This window comes from Homo sapiens, chromosome 4 (genome assembly GCF_000001405.40).
Source record: "Homo sapiens chromosome 4, GRCh38.p14 Primary Assembly".
In the NCBI taxonomy this organism is placed as follows: Eukaryota; Metazoa; Chordata; class Mammalia; order Primates; family Hominidae; genus Homo; species Homo sapiens.
In genome coordinates, this window is record NC_000004.12 from 5,392,869 (window position 1) to 5,410,986 (window position 18,118).

The window sequence follows — 18,118 nt, forward strand, 5'->3', positions numbered from 1 at the left end:
CTGTCAGGACTGCTATTAACACTGAAGCACCGTGTTGGGGGCTGCTGTTTGTACTTGGTCCCCATGTCCACAGGAAGCAGGAGACAGAAGGGAGAAAGAAGTAATGTTTAATGAGTAGAGATGATGTGTTGTCATTTCTTAATTGTCACTCAGTTTCTAGGAGAATGATCCATGCCAATACAATGACAGATTCTAAGCATCCTATCCCACATCAGCTTGCTGATGGATGGGTGCCAAGTCCCATTCAAGTTGGCTAAGGCATAGGTCAACAGCCAAGGTGAAGCCCTCCCATTCCTCCCCAACCCCCAGTAAATGCCTTTGGTCATCCTTCCCTAGTGCCTGTTCTGTTGGCTCAACCTCCTACTGAAATGTCTTTGCCCCACTCTGTTATTATTCATAATCGCACCTTTCCATGTGCCTGGCCCTGTGCTGGTTGCTGTCATAAGAACCATCTCATCCAATCCTCACTGTAGCCATTAGAGAGGGCATTATTATCCAACTTATAAGTGAGGAAGCTAATGTTCATTGTCTTAGTCCATTCTCATGTTGTTATAAAGAAATACTGGAGACTGTTGTTTATAAAGAAAAGAGGTTTCATTGACTCATGGTTCTGAAGGCAGTACAGGAAGCATGGCAGCATCTGCTTGGATTCTTGGGAGGCCTCAGGAAACTTACGATGGTGGCAAAAGGCAAAGTGGAAGCAGGCATGTCTTACATGGCGGGAGCAGGAGCAAGAGAGACAGTGGGGGAGGTGCTACACACTTTTAAACAACCACAACTCACTATCATGACAATAGCACCAAGAGGATGGTGCTAAACCATTCAGGAGAAACCACCCCCATGATCCAATCACCTCCTACCAGGCCCCTCCTCCAACACTGGGGATTACAATTCGACATGAGATTTGGGCGGGAACACAGATCCAAACCCTATCACTCACCCAGGGCAGCGTTCTCCTGTCTGCATGGCCAGCAAGAGGCAGACTCAGGACTGGATCTCAAGTCTCTCTTCTCTGTCCTTTGCTACCTCCCTCTCCCTCTTGCATGCATATGGATAGCATATTCCCTTCACTAGTTGTAAAATAGCCGCAGATTTTTACTTCGCTTAGTCTAGCTTTCCCCTCCAGGTTTTTGTATTTCTCTTTACTGCTGCATAAGATTGCCAGCATAGAATATTGAGAAGCCCCCTGCCAAAAGACACATGCAGAAACATCCTGGTGGCCCTGCTTTGCAGTCTGTGCATGGGTACCTCTGGATCAGAGCCATTTCTATGCTGTTTTTTAAAATATCCCAGCTGACATTTTATGCTTTGTTTTATTTGAGGGCTGGGGAATAATTCAAGAGCAGCACCGGGTTTTATAGCCCTGCATGCGTACTTTCCATCAAAGTGTCATTTTGCCCAACTCTGAAATTATGGGTCTGTCCTCAGGAAACATCGTCACCGCCTTCCCATCCATGCAATGCTCCTGATGCCCTTTCTGAACGTTCAAACCCGTTTTCAACAGGATGACGCGCTGGAGCTGAGATACGATCAATGTGAAAAATAGAGCTGGAGGAAACGGTCCTGAAACTGGCTAAACTAAAGGCTCTGCTAAGATGCTTTACCCATAAAATGCTATTCTTATTAAATCCCAAGTGATTCAGATTCTCCATCTCCTCCACGCTGCTTTGCAGGCATCTGCCCAGCAGTCTCCTGTGAAAGAGACCTAATTTGCTAAAGGCTCAAGAATCTGCCAGTCTGCCTCTGAGTTCTCCCTAGCTCCTTTTGAAAGAGCAATGACAGTCCCATCACTGTGACTTATTTCAGCACTTCTTCCACACTGCACTGGGACTGTGTGAAGTGCTGAACAAATGTCATCTCATTGTACACTCAGCAACAGTGAGATGGCTGTTGCTGTTCCCATTTCCCAAATGAGGAAAACAAGGCTGAGAGTAAGTGGCCCAAGATCATATAGCTAGAGAATTAGTTTTCTATTGTTGTGAAACTAATTACCACTAACTTAACAACTTAAAATAACTCACATTTATTTTCCCTCCATTTCCGTGGCCCAGGAGTCCAGGTGGGCTTAACTGGATCATCTGCATAGGATCTCACAAAACTACAATCCACATGCCCACCGGGCTGCACTCCTTTCTGGAACATGGGGTGGGGTTCTCTCCCAGGCTCTTGTGGTTGTTGGCAGATTTCAGCTCTTATGGCTGCAGGACTGGGGTCCCGTTTTCTTGCTACATATAGGCCAGCGGTCACTCTTCCTCCCAGGGACAGCTACATTCCCCACCGTGTGGCTGGCTCCACACAGCAGCTCATGTCTTGAGCTCTCACTCCAGTCTGCCAAGACAGAGTCATATAATGTAACATAATCCCGGGACTGCCATCCCACCAAGTTTGCCCTGTAACATAACTGAATTAAGGGGGTGACACCCATCACCTTTGTCAGCTTCCATGGCTAGGACCACGTCACAGGTGAGATCATTTATTCTCTCATCCTCCTACTTCCTCATCTGCAAAATGAGAACTTGCTCACTACATGATGCACAGCTGGCCTTTTCTTGCTATTCAGATGTCAACCCAATGTCACCACTTCTTAAAGGTCTTCCTGACCATCTACCAAAACTAGGGTCCCTCTATTAGTCTTTTTTCTAGACTCTGGTTTGCCTTCTTCACCTGCCACAACTTACAATCCTGCCATTGATTCATGTGCCTTCTGGTGTGCCTCTCTTCCTAGAATGCAAGCTCCATTCAGTTGGGTCTGTCTTGTTCACGACGTGTCCTTCATGACCGCAAAGGGGACACCCCCGTAAATGCTTGAGATTCCACTCTGTGCTAAGAGCCAACACAGAAGCAATGTGTGTTATGTATCAGGTATTTAATCCACACAGCAAAGGAAACTGAAGCAGAGGCAGAGATCATGCAGGTAGTCAAAAGTGAGACTGGAGTTGGAACACAGACTGTCTAGATCATGGGCTGAATTCTCCCAAACAGAACAGCCCCTTTCCTTGGCTCTGTGGGGTCTAGGGACCAAGGTGGCCACATCCGTGCCCCATTCTGTTCTCAGGATATGAGACAATGTGCGCCGGTGCAATGTGGATGTGGGGGCGTGGCCAGGCCCTGGGCTTGTCCAAGGCCATGCTGTCATTAATGGGGCCCTAGCTGCCCTTTGAGGTTTGCCCTCAACTCTATCAGCTCTCCTTCCACCGTGCCAGTTGTGTTAGCTTCCGGGGACTGCCACAGCAAATTACTGCAAAATCGGTGGCTTAAAACAATACAAATTTATTCTCTCATAATTCCGGCCAGAAGTCCAAAATCAAAGAGGAGTCATGGCTGTGCTTCCTCTGGAGGTTCAGGAGAGAATCCGCCCCTGGCCTGTTCCAGCTCCAGGTGGCTCCAGGCGTTTCTGGTTCATGGCTGCATCACTCCAGTATCTGCTTCCATCTCCCCATGGCCTTCTTCTCTCCTGTGCCTGCATCCAAATCCCTCCCCCTACTTTCCTCCTATAAAGACATGAGTCTTTAGAGTCCTCCCTAAATCCAGGATGATTCATCTTGAGATCCTTAAGTAATTACCTCTGCAAAGACTCCATTTCCATATAGGGTCCCATTCTGAAGTTCTGGGTGGACATGAATTTTGAAGGGACACCATTCAACCCAGTACGCCAGATCACATCTTCTTGGGTCTGTCACCCCACCCTCACCTCACCTGTGTCCTGACTCTAACTCTATCTTTAGGCTGTGGCCCTTGTAGGCATTTTGTAGCTCACATTCCCTGGGCCACAGCCATCTCCTCCCTGGTCCCCACACCACACATTAAATCATCTCAGTCCCGGTGATACCTTAAGAGATAAGCTTGAACATTTGCTGCTGTGTTTTCATTCTTGACATGTATTTTATTATCTCTTTTCTCATCTTTTGTTGAGAAACCCTGCTGGGAGCCACCCTGGGCAGGGACCAAGCATTTGCTGACTTCATCCGCACTTGACTCTAGGTCTTCTGCCTTTTGTTTTAATTTTATAAGTTCTCAAGTTCATCCCTCCCATGTGGCTCCCTACGGGTCTCTGCGGTAATCTCTTTGTTCACAGTGGAGGCTTTGTGACCTCGGCAGCAGGGGCCCACGTACTCAATGCTCCTCGGTACTCATGGGTTTGAAAAGTCACAATGAAAATAAAAATTTAAATGTATAGGTTGAGCGCTTCTTTCATCCCCAAACCCGTAGATATTGCATTGCATTACTACAAATTACCACAGTGTGTTTTCAGGTAGAATTAATATTTGATAAACTCAGGAGCAGTTGCTCTTTATTTTGAAGAAAGCTATCATTAGTCTCAGTAGATTTGACATTAGTTATAAATGAGTGAAAATTTATGCATTTGTAAAATCTATGGTTTTAATGCAGAGCTTCGCCAAGTGTGTACACGTCAATAATAAGTAAGCTGGGGTTGAAGTTGTTCTTCTCTCACTTTCATTCCTCCATCCTTATACTCAGTGGTGTTTCACGTGTGTCTACCACTGTGTCGGGCGCTGTGCTAGGTACAGGCATGTGGACGTAAAGAAAGCAAAGCCTCAGCCTTCAGAATGTTTCACTTGGAATTGAGAGGCCTTTTGCTATAATGGTGATGTAGAGAAGACCTTTCCAGAAACTCCTCTGCCCAGATTTTGTCCCATGTGGGTCACTATGTTACCCTTAAAAGAGGTCAGCAAACTTTCTCCATAAAGGGCAGATAATCAACATTTTAGGCTTTGACGACCACATTAATCTCTGTTGCGTGCTCCTCTGTGTGTCTGTGGGTGTGTGTACGTGTATATGTTGTTTTGTTTTTACAGTGCTTTAAAGATGTTAAAGTGATTCTTAGCTCCCAGGCCATACAAAAACTGGCCCAGGGCTGGATTTGGCCAAGAGCCGTAGTTTGCCCATCTCTGACCATGACAACTTCCAAACCCTCATTGAGCTCGAGTGGATGCCATGACACCTGCAGGGAACCCTGGTGGGATGGCTCAGCTACCTCAAGGTGGGCAGGTGCTTCCCCTTGCTGGTGCTGATCACATGCTTAGTGAGCAGTCACTGCTGTTACCATTACAGCTGGAGCTGAGAGGCTAAAAATTAAGAATATTCAGGAAAAAATATTCAAACAATCTACTTGCACTTCCAGGAAAGAGAAGAGGCGATAAGAACACAGGTGTCCCATTATCTTACCAATTATTCTCCCACTCCATGTCTGAGGCTTCAGGTCAGGGAGAGGTGAGCAGCCTGGGTGTTCCAGCATTTGTCCTGATGTGGTGCTTGTCTATGTGCTCATCTGTGGGCTCAGGAACCACATTGCCAGCTTCTTTGTTTTCTTTTACAGAGACATCAAGCCAGACAATATCCTGCTGGATGAACACGGTAAGCCTGCTACTAATCCTTTACAGGGACTCTCAGTGGAAAGTTTGAGGCACTGGGAAATAGTGCGGGGGTGGGGGTTGGGTCTTGCTGAGTTGGACATTAGCATTGGCTAGAAACCTTCTCTTGTTTCAATCCTGGTGGATCAACATCTGTGTAAATTTCTGGTCCATGTCCTGCCGTGGTAAGTTGAATCAAAGTTATTTAAACTGTTCGCATCTGAAGTCATTGCTGTTCATATCCCCGTGTGAGGAGGACAGGGCCGCCGTGAGGATGAGCCCGGGGTTCCAACCCCAACTCCCTCACCTATGAACGTGTGGCTTCAGAAGTCACCCACCTCTCTGAGCCTCAGTGTAATTTTCTGTAAACTGGGGAGAAGGCACCTCCCTTGCAGGGTGTTCATGAGGGTGAAATGAGAGTACACACTCATTTCTAGCAAGCAGAGCTTAATACTTGATAATCCACTAAGCATTTACTCATCTATCGGCTATGTCAGGCTTCTCAAAATTTCCTTTATGTGCACACAGATCTCCTAGGCATCTTCTCAAACTGATTTAGTAAGTCTGAGATGGGACTAGACTCTGCAAAGTCCAGAGTCTGCAAAGCTCCCAGGTGGCTGATGCTGCTGGTCCATGGACCACACCTTGAGTAGCAAGGCACCAAGTCAGTGGCTCTCCAACTCTGGCCTTACCAGAATTACCTGGGGGACCTGGTAAAAATCAGAGGTCAGGCCCGGTCCTGCTTCAGCAAGCCTGGGCTCCTGTGTTCTGGATCCTGTGTCCTGTGTTGGGATGGAATGCCCACAAAGTTTAAGAACCATGAGCCTAGGGCTCAGATCAAGAATGCTCAGTGGACTTGACAATCAATTGTGGCTGATGCCAACAGGAGACTTACAGCCTTCAAAACTAAATTCACTGGCATTGCTTCAGGGGCCCGTCTCTCAGGGCCTAACATGGGGTTGGCTGGAGGGAGCAGGTGCGAATTCTTCTGAAGTAGGGATTCTCATCCCTGCTGAGGCCTTCAGGGATGAATGAGTCACATTTTCTACGCAGCTCCCCCACCCTCCTTCCCCACCTCTGCAGGCTGAGGTCATGGTTCTATCTCAGAGCTCCTCTCGAACCTTCCATGAGCCAGCAGCATAGCTTGGGGCATCCTAACCTCATAGTGTGCATCCCTATGTACAGGAGTGGTGGATGGGACCATTTGCATCTCTGCATCAGATGCTGGAACCAGACTAAGTGCTTTGGGGGCAGTAGGATTGAACTCACTGTGCTCCTGAATGGAAGGTCAGCAGCAGCCCCAAGATGCCTGGGGCATGGACAGAGCTGAGGATCCAAATCAAGGCTGGAAAGGAAGCGAAAGCAACGTCTCCAGTTTGTATCTAAAAGTCAGGATCTTCAGATGTGGCACTCAGCTGAGCCCCCAGCCAGCTGAATGTCCTTGGGCCAGTGGCTGTACCTCCGTGTCTCAGCCTTCCCAGCAGCGATGCAGAAGTAATTGACCCACCTTGCAGGGTGGTGAATGTCTCATCTCGGGTGAGACTCGAAGGTCAGCCACCCATCACAGTATGCAAGCGCTCGGGAAGGGGTAGATAACTCGCCCTCTTCCTGTCCCCTTTCTCTGCTCAGGGCCAGGCAAGGTCAAATCACAGAAGCAGGGTAAAGAGGTGAGAAAACACAGAGGCTGGTTCTGCTTAGCTGTCTGGAAAGCAGGGGTCTGGAAGGCTGGGTTCCAGGCAGCATCCTCAAGGCTCTGTCCTATTAAGAGAGACCGCTAGGGGGAGACTTCCTGGCCCTGCAAAGCGGTCCAGAAGCAAAATTCAGACAGAAACATCAATAGCAATAAGCTAGCCATTGCACTGATGAGGAAAAGTGACACAGAGAGTATGGGGGTAACCCAGGACTGCCTGGCTTCATAGTTCTGGCTCCATCCTCACAGACCTTGGCCACAGCTCCCCTGAAGCTGCTGCACAAAAGATATAGGCAGGCGGGCTGCTCCCAGGCAGCCTCCCCTAGGTTTTCTCTTTCCTGCCTTTTGGATTTCCATCCATCCCATTCCGCCTCCCTTTCTGTACCCATTCTCAGCCTCCACCTCAGCCTTCCCCACATTCTTTCTGCATCTCGTTCTGCCCCCTTGAGCTCCTCATCTTTTTCCACCCCCTGCTTGGCCTTCACAGTGTCCCAGCCCTGCCTTCTGGCTATGCAGCACCCCACACACTCCCCAAGTGCCCCTGCATCCAGTCTTCTCCCTCTCCAGCCTCCCATTTCATCGAAAAGTCTCTGCTAGCTGGTGGGACAGAGCGTTGAATATAATATTTCATACTGTGAGGTGAATGGCTGATAACCCTTCCCCACTCCAACACTCAATGAGTGGCTTTGCAGGTGGTACAGAAAAGAAATTTAGGAGCAGGGAATTCCGCTCAGAAAAAGAAGAGTCTCCTTTCTGGGGAGAGAAGAGAAAGAGAGAATTCTATGCCCATGGCCCTCCTTTACCTGCTCTTCTGAGGGGAGCTGATCGGCTTTTTGAGCAGAGCCTGAAGCTGGCCATTCTTGCCTTTGTCTTTCCCTCAGTAAACATCTCTTGAGCACCTGCTGTGTGCCAAGTTCTGGTTAACAGAATGATGAACAAGGCAAACAGGGTCCCAACGCTGATGGGTTTCATGGTGTTGGGGAGAGTGTGGGGAAGCTCAGGAGAGGTCGGGCAGAGGGGAGAGGGAAAGGTGTGTGCGGGGTTGTCTTAGAGGCAGCCGCATGACAGTGGGATCCTGAAGGCATGACAAGGCCAAACAGAGGAAGGTGCCTGGATGGACAGGTGGTAGAGACAGTGGGGCAGAACTGCAGAAACAAGAGGGGAATGGCTGTTTGAGGAATACAACAGCAGTTTATTTTGTAGGTTTATAACATTTAAAATTAATCTTATGCCTTCAAAACCTTCACTGTGAAACATGACCTAGCCATAAGATGAGCAGGACAGTATGTGTTCCTAAATGAGTCCTAAGGGCACCCCATTCGTGCTGGCATCTACTTGCACCTTTTGTAAACTGCATGACAAAACCTTTTACAAACCAATAACTGTGTATTGCTATTTCAAGAGTTCCATCATTGGTTGCATTGAATACTTTCTCAGAGAACAAGTTGGTCAGTTGTGTTTCAAATGAAATATAAACATAATTAAACAAATGCATTAATATTTTATTAATGATGTCCAAAATCTGCTAGTTACACAAAATCCAAGCATCTCTCACAAGCTTCTCTGCTCCCCTAGTGTCTGCCTTACTTTCTGATCTTTCAGGGTTTTATGTCTTGGAATGGACACTTTCATTCTGCTCTGAGATTTGAGGTCTCTGAGCCAGCTGCAAAAGCAGAGAGATACCACGCATTGAGGTAAAATAGAGTGAAAGAAGATACAGCATCTCAGAACAAGGCAGGGAAAAGAGCTGAGTGCATTTTAGGCTGAGGATCATAAGATCAAGACAATGGGGAATTTAAAGACATAGAGGGAGGGGGGAAGCAATTGTATTGATTTTCTATTGGTACAATAAAGCTGGGTAATGAACCACATAACTTAAATCGCATAAACAAAAAACATCCCGTTAGCTCACAGCATCCTGGGGTTGAGGGACTCTAGGCTGGGCTTGGCTGATCTTGGCTGGGCTTGCTCCTAAGACCAAGGTTGGGTAGGCAGGACTGTTGATGTTGGCTAAACCCACTCCAATGTCTGAGGCTCAACTGGCTGTCAGCCGATCCCCTCTGGCCTTGGCTGGCTGGCCGGGTGACTCAGCCCTGCTCCTTGAGCTTATCCCCTGCAAGTTCATCTGCATGGTCTGCTCATGGCCATAGCAGGAGCAAGAGCAGGAGAGCCCAGCCACTCAAGCCTCCACCTGTGTCGTGTTTGCCACCAATGCAGGAGACAAAGCGAGTCACTTGGCCAAACCTAGAGTCAGAGAGACTAGACATTGCAAAGGCACATGGCAATGGGGTGATCCAGAGAGGGGTGAACAATTGAGGCCATTAATGCAGTTGCCTAACAGGAGGGTGATGGAAGAGGCCAGTGGAAATGGAATGGATGGAGCCACAGGCACAGGCCGGTGGGTTAGTGCTTTCCACATGGGAGGTGGACTTCCCCAAAGGTGGGCAAGGAGAGAAGAGTGAGAGACAGAAGGAAAGAGGCTGTATTTTGCACTTAAGTGCCACTGAGGGCCCTGGTTCAAAGGTCATTTATGATGACCATAAAGAATGTAGTCTTCGTCCTCTTTGGGAAGTGGTTCGCTTGTTGCACACCTGCCATGGCCAGGCATTGTGTCCAGTGACCACAGAAGGCAGAGTCCCTGTGGCCGAGGAACTCATGGTCTGGGGTGACTGTTCTCTGTCCTGGTGGCACATCACCTGGGTCCTAAGACCCCACCTTGAGAAGCTCTCATTTGATTCCTCTTACAGGACAGAGTGCTGAGTAGTGGGATCTTTTACAGTTCCCAGGTGGATCTAATCTGCAGCCAAGGCTGTGGGAGGAGTGGAAATGTAAACAATTGATGATGACCCGTTGGGGTCAAGGCCAGGACAGAGCAAGCATGGGGCTGTGGGGCAGCAGAAGGTGGCTGAGGCCAGGAGAGTAGTGCAGGAGGGCTTCCTGGAGGAAGGGACATGTACATTGGATTCTGAAGCATGCCGGAGGTCAGTAGGCATTCCAGAGGTACACACTCATTTCTTGTGGCCGTGGGATGGGTACAGTGGGATTCAGAAACCTGACCTGGATCTTCAGCAGCTGGCAATGCAGCAGCCGCGTGGTCAGAGTGGATTTGTTTTCTTTATTTAATATTCCATTTCTTGTATTTTCTGTATTCTGAAGCTTTGGCCTCTGGAGCCTTGCTAAGCTGATGGACTGCCCTGCCCAGGGCTGGCCAATCCTAGGGCTGGTAAACAACCTGCCCCAAGGCACACTTTTCAGATGCCAACCAACCAATCCAGAGCCATACCCCCAACACCTCCTTTATCCGCTCTCCTAGGAATTTTATGTTCCAGGCCCCTCCTCACTTCCTCTAATTCCCCTAGGTACCAGACAACTAGAGACAGCCCCTAAAACCCAGAGCACACTGAAATTACTCAGACCAGTCAATCATAAGTCTGCTAACCTTGCCTCACCCATTCCTTCCCATGGAAACCACAATAAAGGCTCTGGCCCACATTTCCCCACTCCCCATCCTCCTGAGCGGCCCTGATGCTTCCCTGTCTCCCCTGCCCATGACATAGCCTGCGCCCTATTCTTGGGAACTGTAACAAACTATCAGTCATCTCCTGATCTGGTGGCCTTATTGTACCTCACATTTTCTATTAATACACTGTATTTTATAACACTCATTAACTGAACTCGTTTCAAAGAATTGCCTTTCCATCTGTTGCTAACATATTTGTTGATAAATGTGATGAGTGCTCCCCAAAATGGCCATGGCCATCCATGTCAGCACCCACTTTTCTCTTGTCAAAGCATTGTATGTGCTACCCCCAGCATGCCAGGAGGAAGAGACTCCAGGAAATTAAAAAATTAGGCATGTACTGCTTGTGAAGCATCAGATTTGGGGACTGTAGCAGTTGAGAAGGAAGGGAGAGGAAGCCACTCATACAAGATGGAAGACTGAGATGTTTCTGTTAAGCCTGAGGAGCCAGTGGTGGATGTCTTGGAACCATATGGGTCCCAAGACTGTAAGGATAAGTACATAGTAATGCACTTTAAAGCTGTTCTACGTGTCCTGGGGAAGATTGTAGTGAGATTCTTTCCAGCGAGCTGCCAGAAATGGGGTTTCTGCTGCAGCACTGTGCCAGGGGAGGGTATTAAAGTCCTACAGACATGGTATGTGAGACACTGAGGACACCAGCAAATGGCCCCTGTATTTTCTAGGGCTACCATAACAAAGCCCCACAACTGACAGGCTTAAGCAACAGAAACGTATTGTCTCACAGTTCTGGAGGCTGGAAGTTCAGGATCACGGTGTCAGCATGGCCCTGCTTCCTCTGAAGTGGGTGGGAAAGGCTCTTCTCCAGGGCCCTCTTCCAGCTCTGGCAGCTTCTTGGCTTGTGGCAGCATAACTCTGCTCTTCACATGGCATTTTCCCTGTGTGCGTGTCGGCGTCCAAATTTCTCCTTTTGATAAGGACACTCATCATACTGAATTTGGGGCCCAGCCCATTTCAATATGACTTCATCATAATGTGTGTATATAAGCAAGTATTAGTTATCCCTCAATCAACTGTTATACATTTGCATACAAATCAGTCCCACACGAATATCGACCACTACTGAAAATCCTTAACATTACATAGTACATTCATTCATTCACTAGACATAGCACATTTCAGTCAAATCCAACCTCATCAACATGGATATCCTCTTCCATATTTTGGTCTCTTAATCTACCAACCTCCGAGAAATCATCATCCCACTCAGGCGTGTTACCCTCCTCGCTCCGGGCCCATAACACTTGGGAGCATAATGACCTCATCATCTGTGATGACCTTATTTCCAGATAAGGCCACATTCTATGGTAATGGGAATTTGGACTTTGGTATGTGAATTTTGGAGGAAAAGGGACTCAATTAAATTCATAACACCCCTGTGTTCTCTGTATGCGATTTTTTTTTTTTTTTTTTTTTGAGATGGAGTCTCGTTCTGTCACCGAGACTGGAGTGCGGCGGTGCCATCTCGGCTCACTGCAAGCTCCGTCTCCCAGGTTCATGCCATTCTCTGGCCTCAGCCTCCTAAGTAGCTGGGACTACAGGCGCCCACCACCACACCTGGCTAAGTTTTTGTATTTTTGGTAGAGACAGGGTTTCACCGTGTTAGCCAGGATGGTCTCAATCTCTTGACCTCATGATCCACCCACCTTGGCCTCCCAAAGTGGGGATTTTCACAAATAAGAAATAGGCTAGGATGTGTGTGAGACCTAGTAAGGGCTTCCTAGCACGGGACCCAGATAGAGGCAGATTCACCACCGAGATCCCCAACCCTGCCTGTGTGGAGTGAGGGACTGCCCAAGTCAGACCAAGAGCTTGGAGGACCAGGAGAGAGGTCCCATTCCTGGTAAGAGGAACCTGGGCAGAGCCAAGCTAAGTAGGGCCAGTTTGCTCACCCTAAATTCACCCGTCACATCATCACTTCACCTCCCTTGGTGAGGGAGTGCTATGGTCTGAATGTTTGTGTCCCCACAAAATTCAAAGGTTGAAACTGTAATCCCCAAGGTGATGGTGTTAGGAGGTGCGGCTGTGTTAGTCCATTCTCACACTGCTGTGAAGAACTACCTGAGAGTGGGTAATTTATGAAGAAAAGAGGTTTAATTGACTCACAATTCCACAGGCTGTTCAGGAGGCATGGCTGGGGAGGCCTCAGGAAAGTTATAATCATGGCAGAAGGTGAAGGGGAAGCAAGCACGTCTTCACATGGCTGGCAGGAGTCAGGGGAAGTGCTACACACTTTTATAAACAACAAGATCTTGTGATAACTAATTCATTATTATGAGAACAGCAAAAGAGAAATCCACCCTTAGGATCCAATCACCTCCCACCAGGCCCCTCTTCCAACACTGGGGATTACAATTAGACATGAGATTTGGACAGAAACACAGACACACACCGTATTATTTCACCTTCTGCCCTTCCCAGATATCATGTTCTTCTCACATTTCAAAATACAATCATGCCTTCCCAACAGTCCTCCAAAGTCTTAACTCATTTGAGCATTAACTCAAAAGTCCAAAGTCTCATCTGAGACAATACCAGTAACTTCCACCTATGAGTCTGTAAAATCAAAAACAAGTTAGTTACTTCCAAGGTACAATGGGCATTACAGGCATTGGGTAAATACAACTGTTCCAAAAGGGAGAGATCAGCTAAAACAAAGGAGCCTCATGCAAGTCCAAAACCCAGCAGGGCAGTCATTAAATCTTAAAGCTCCAAAATAATCTTTGACTCCATATCTCACATCCAGGCCACACTGATGCAAGGGGTGGGTTCCCAAGGCCTTGGGCATCTCTGCCCGTGTTGCTCTGCATGGTACAGCCCCCTCGGCTGCCTTCACAGGTTGGCATTGAGTGATTGTGGCTTTTCTAGGTGCACGGTGCAAGCTGTTGGAGGGTATACCATTCTGGGGGTTGGATAATGGTGGGCCCTCTTCTCACAACTCCACTAGGCAGTGCCCCAGTGGGGACTTTCTGTGGGGGCTCCAACCCCACATTTCCCCTTCACCCTTCCCTAGTAGAATTTCTCAACGAGGGCCCCACCCCTGCAGCAGACTTCTACCTGGACATCCAGACATTTCCATACATTCTCTGAAATCTAGGTGGAGGCTCCCAAGCCTCAGCTCTTACCCTCTGAACACCCACAGGTTTAACATCACATGGAAACTGCCAAGGCTTATGGCTTGCACCCTTTGGAGCAGTGGCCTGAGATGTATCTAAGGCCTTTTAACTATGGCTGGAGCTGGAGTGGCTGGGATGCAGGGAGCAGTGTCTCGAGGTTAGGCAGGGCAGCAGAGCCCTGGACCTGGCAGCAGAACCAGTTTTTCCTTTTAGGCCTCCAGGCCTATGATGGGAGGGACTGCTGCAGAGGTCTCTGGAATGCCTTTGAGGCATTTTCCCCATTGTCTTGGCTGTTAACATTCAGCTCCCTTTTACTCATACAAATTTCTGCAGCCAGCTTTAAACCCTCCCAAGAAAATGGGTTTTTCTTTTCTACCACATGGCCAGGCTGCATTTTCCAAACTTTTACATTCTGCTTCCCATTTACATATAAGTTCCATTTCCAGGTCACTTTTTTACTCATGAATATAAACATAGGCTGTTAGAGGCAGCCAAGCCACATCTTGAACATTTTGCTGCTTAGAAATTTCTTTTACCAGATGCCATAAATCATCACTCTCAAGTTCAAAATTCCACATATCTCTAGGGCCTCCAACCTCTTTGCCAACACATAAAAAAAGTGACCTTTGCTCCAGTTCCCAATAGGTTCCTCATCTCCATCTGACACTACCTCAGCCTGGACTTCATTGTTCATATCACTCTGCATTTTGGTCACAATTTAACAAGTTTCTAGGGAGTTCCAAAATTTCCCTCATCTTCCTGTCTTCATCTGAGCCCTCCGCACTCTTCCAACCTCTGCCAGTTACCCAGTTCCAAAGTCGCTTACATATTTTCAGGAGTCTTTATAGCAGTGTCCCACTACTGGTACCAATTTTCTATATTAGTTTGTTGTCACACTGCTATAAAGAACTACCTGAGACTAGGTAATTTATGAAGAAGAGGTTTAATTGACTCACAGTTCCACAGGCTGTACAGGAGTCATGGTTGGTGAGGCCTCAGGGAACTTATAATCATGGCGGAAGGTGAAGGGGAAGTAAGTAGGTCCTCACATGGATGGCAGGAGTTTGGGGGGTGGGGGAGAAGTGCTACACACTTTTATAAAACAGTCAGATCTTGTGGGAACTCACTCACTAGTACAAAAACAGCAAGGGGGAAATCCAACCCCATAATCCAATCACCTCCCACCAGGTCCCTCTTCCAACACTGGTGATTACAATTGTCCCTCTTCCAACACTGATGATTACAATCAGACATGAGATTTGGGTGGGAACACAGACGTAAACCGTATCAGAGGCCTTTGAGAGGTGATTAGGTCATGAGGGTGGAACCTGCATGAATGGGATAAGTGCCCTTATTAAAGGGACCCCAGAAAGTTCCCTCACCCTTTCCACCATGTGAGAACACAGCAAGAAGTTGCCACCTCTGAACCAGGAAGCAGGCCCTCCACAGACACCAAATCTGTCAGGGCCTTGATCTTGGACTTCCCAGCCTCCAGAACTGTGAGAAACACATGTCTGTTGTTAATCAGTCTATGACATTCTGTTACAGCAGCCCAAACGGACTGAGATGGGGAGTGAAGGGCTGGAAAGAAGCTAATAAGGTACTTAGGACTAATCCTTCTGGTATGGTTTGGATCTGTGTCTTCCCCCAAATCTCATGTCAAATGGTAATCTCCAGTGTTGGAGGTGGGGCCTGGTGGGAGTTGATGAGAGCCTGGGGGTGTTCTCATGAATGACTGAGTTCTTGTGAGCTCTGGTTGTTTAAATGCAGGTAGCACCTACCCCCGTCTCTCTTCCTCCTGCTCCATCCATGTGACTTGTCTGCCTCCCCTTCGCCTTTCACCATGATTGTACATTTTCTGAGGCCTCTCCAGAAACCAAGGAGGTGCCACTATGCCTGCTGCACAGCCTGTAGAACCATGAGCCACCAGTTAAACCCCTTTTCTTTATAAATTACCTAGACTCAGGTATCCTTTTATAGCAATGCGAGAACAAACTAATGCACCCTCCTCGTGGAAATTGAAAGTGAAGGACAATCCTTCCCTCCTATATTGCTGCTAACACTAGGTCCGATTCCAGCTCGGCCTGGTAAGAATAATCTTAATTATGCACTGTTCCCAGGACAGTATTTGATACTGATCTGGAGAAACATGTGACCTAGCCCCTGTCTTCATGAGGCACACCTGTCTGGAAAAGAGCCCCATATGATGGAATGAGTTAGGAGCAGAGTAGAGGAAGCAGTGGTCTTGCCACCCCATGACCCAGGGTGGAGGCAGTGCCATCCGTGGGCAGCTGCCTATTCTTAGTTCATTTTACTTGTCGGAGCTTCATTGCCCTCAAGAGAGAATGGCTTAAAGAAATAGGAAGACAATGGGGCTCAGAGTGAAACCTACCTGGGGCTTGAATTCTGGCTGCAGGAGCTTGGGTGAGACAGTCACTTTCTCAACTGTTTACACCACGGATGGGATGACTAGACAATGTTCAGACAGGCCCTGCCCCAGCGAACTCCTCCATCTATTGAGATTGTTCTGCCCCCAAAAAGATGGCCTCTGCTTGGCTTTCATGAAGTCTCACCTGAGTGCATCTCATCAGCAGAATCGAAATCTCGGCCAGAACCCTTGCTGCAAGAGAGTTAGAAAATGCATTTTCCCCCTTCTGGCTCTTGTGATACAGGAGGTAGCAAAGAAAGGAGTGGGAGAGGATGCTAAGTGTGAGAATCTAGTGTCCAGCATGGTGCCTCCTGGAGTCATTGCAAGGAGTAGATCATAGTAGGGAAAGCGTTGCAAAAACTTCTCCAAAGTGTTACTAATTGTGATTAATATGATTCATAAAATCACATGCTCAATACTGTGAGATAGAAAGGAAGTGTATTAGTCAGGGAGCCTTGGCTCTGCAGCACTAATGAACGTCAGAAGCTACTGGCTTGACATTAAGAATCATGGACATAGAGAAATGGTGGAATAACACTAAAAATTTCTGAGCTCTCTCAAAAGCCTTGGACTGCATGCTTTCCATGCAGCATCAGCTCAAACTGGGGGCACATGCCTGGCAGGCTTTATGGAATCACAGGGCATGGGGGCACCAGAATTAGCTGGGGATGGAAGTGTCCTTCCCAAATCTCAGCGAAAGAGCTCAGTAAAGCCCAGAAATGTTGCATTTCTTGTCACTGGTTGTTGTTTTCCACTCTTCACCTGTGCATGGGGGCAGCCTGGAGCAGACAGATGATTTTTTAAGGCCCTGCATTCCTACCCCACGACCAAGGTACAGAAGGAAGCCAAATTAAATGGAACAGAAAAAAAATCAAAGGCTCATTTTATTCTTTATCAGGCAAAGACATGTGCTGAAAACATAGTCTTCCTACTGTCATAAGCCAAAAGAAGCTTGGATAAGCTAGTGCCATGGAATTTGATTGGGCTTCTTTTTTCCTTTTACCATTGTCCTGTGATAAGTTTGCTGTGATCTCCATGAAGATAAATGAGAAGAAAAGAATAGTTCTGTGTGGTGCCCAGAGTGTTTGATCCTGTGTTGAACAGTGGCAGCCAATGTTACAATCAGCGCCCACGGCTCCAAAGTGCAATTATTATTAGCAGAGAGCCAGGGTTGCTGGAAACGGCTGGAGCCTACCAGGGGAGGGAGCTGAAGGGCCCACAGCCCTGATTCTCATCTCTTTTGGGCTTCAGCTGCTTCTTTGAAGCAGCACCACTTTAACCTCTGGCTTAGGCATAATTTGGGTCCTGTAAACCAGCTGAGATGGGGAGAGATGTTCACCTGAGATTTATTCCGAATTCAAGAATGATGAAAGTGAAACCAGCCAGAGAATACTTGAAAGCAGATGACCGTGTGTAGTTTCCCTTTCATCCTAACTCTTGGTCTTCCTTCCTCTAGAGGGAGCAATATTTGCACCCACTCCCAGGAATTTCTAGGGAAGCATGGCACCCATAAAAGTGTTCATAAAAAGAGCAAGGCCTGCCCCTACAAGCAGACGTCCTCTTCTCCCAGGCTGTGGTCTTGGAGGTCCCAGTAAGACTGCTATACCAGGCTACAGCCAGGCTCGAATTCCTTTGATAAACACCACGTGGGGTTATTCCATCAGGTTGCTGCAGTATTAAAAATCAAGAGTTAAAATGGAATGTTGTCAATACTCCTCTGACTATTATGATATCCCTACAAACAATAAGGAATGAAGAAAGGTGATAGGATTTGACTGCTCAAAGGTCTCTTTCATTTCTGGGTAGTTTATAAATAATAGAAGTTTATTTCACACAGTTCTGGGGGCTTGGAAGTCCAAGATCGTGGGCAGATTCAGTGTCTGGTGAGGGCTGCTCTCTGCTTCCAAGTTGATATCTTGTAGTTGCGTCCTCTCATGGCAGAAGATGGAAGATCAAAACGGTGAATGCAGTGTG

At 47.6% G+C, this 18,118-nt stretch overlaps 1 protein-coding gene across 7 annotated transcripts in view; it reads left to right on the forward strand.

Annotated features, from left to right (window-relative positions):
• STK32B (serine/threonine kinase 32B) overlaps positions 1–18,118 on the forward strand; it is a 481,604-nt gene that overhangs the window by 373,483 nt on the left and 90,003 nt on the right. For all 7 annotated transcript variants that reach the window (XM_047415924.1, XM_047415925.1, NM_001306082.2 and 4 more), the window contains one exon: positions 5,339–5,376. In XM_047415924.1, coding sequence (XP_047271880.1) covers positions 5,339–5,376 — 38 coding nt within the window. The remainder of the gene's footprint in view (positions 1–5,338; positions 5,377–18,118) is intronic.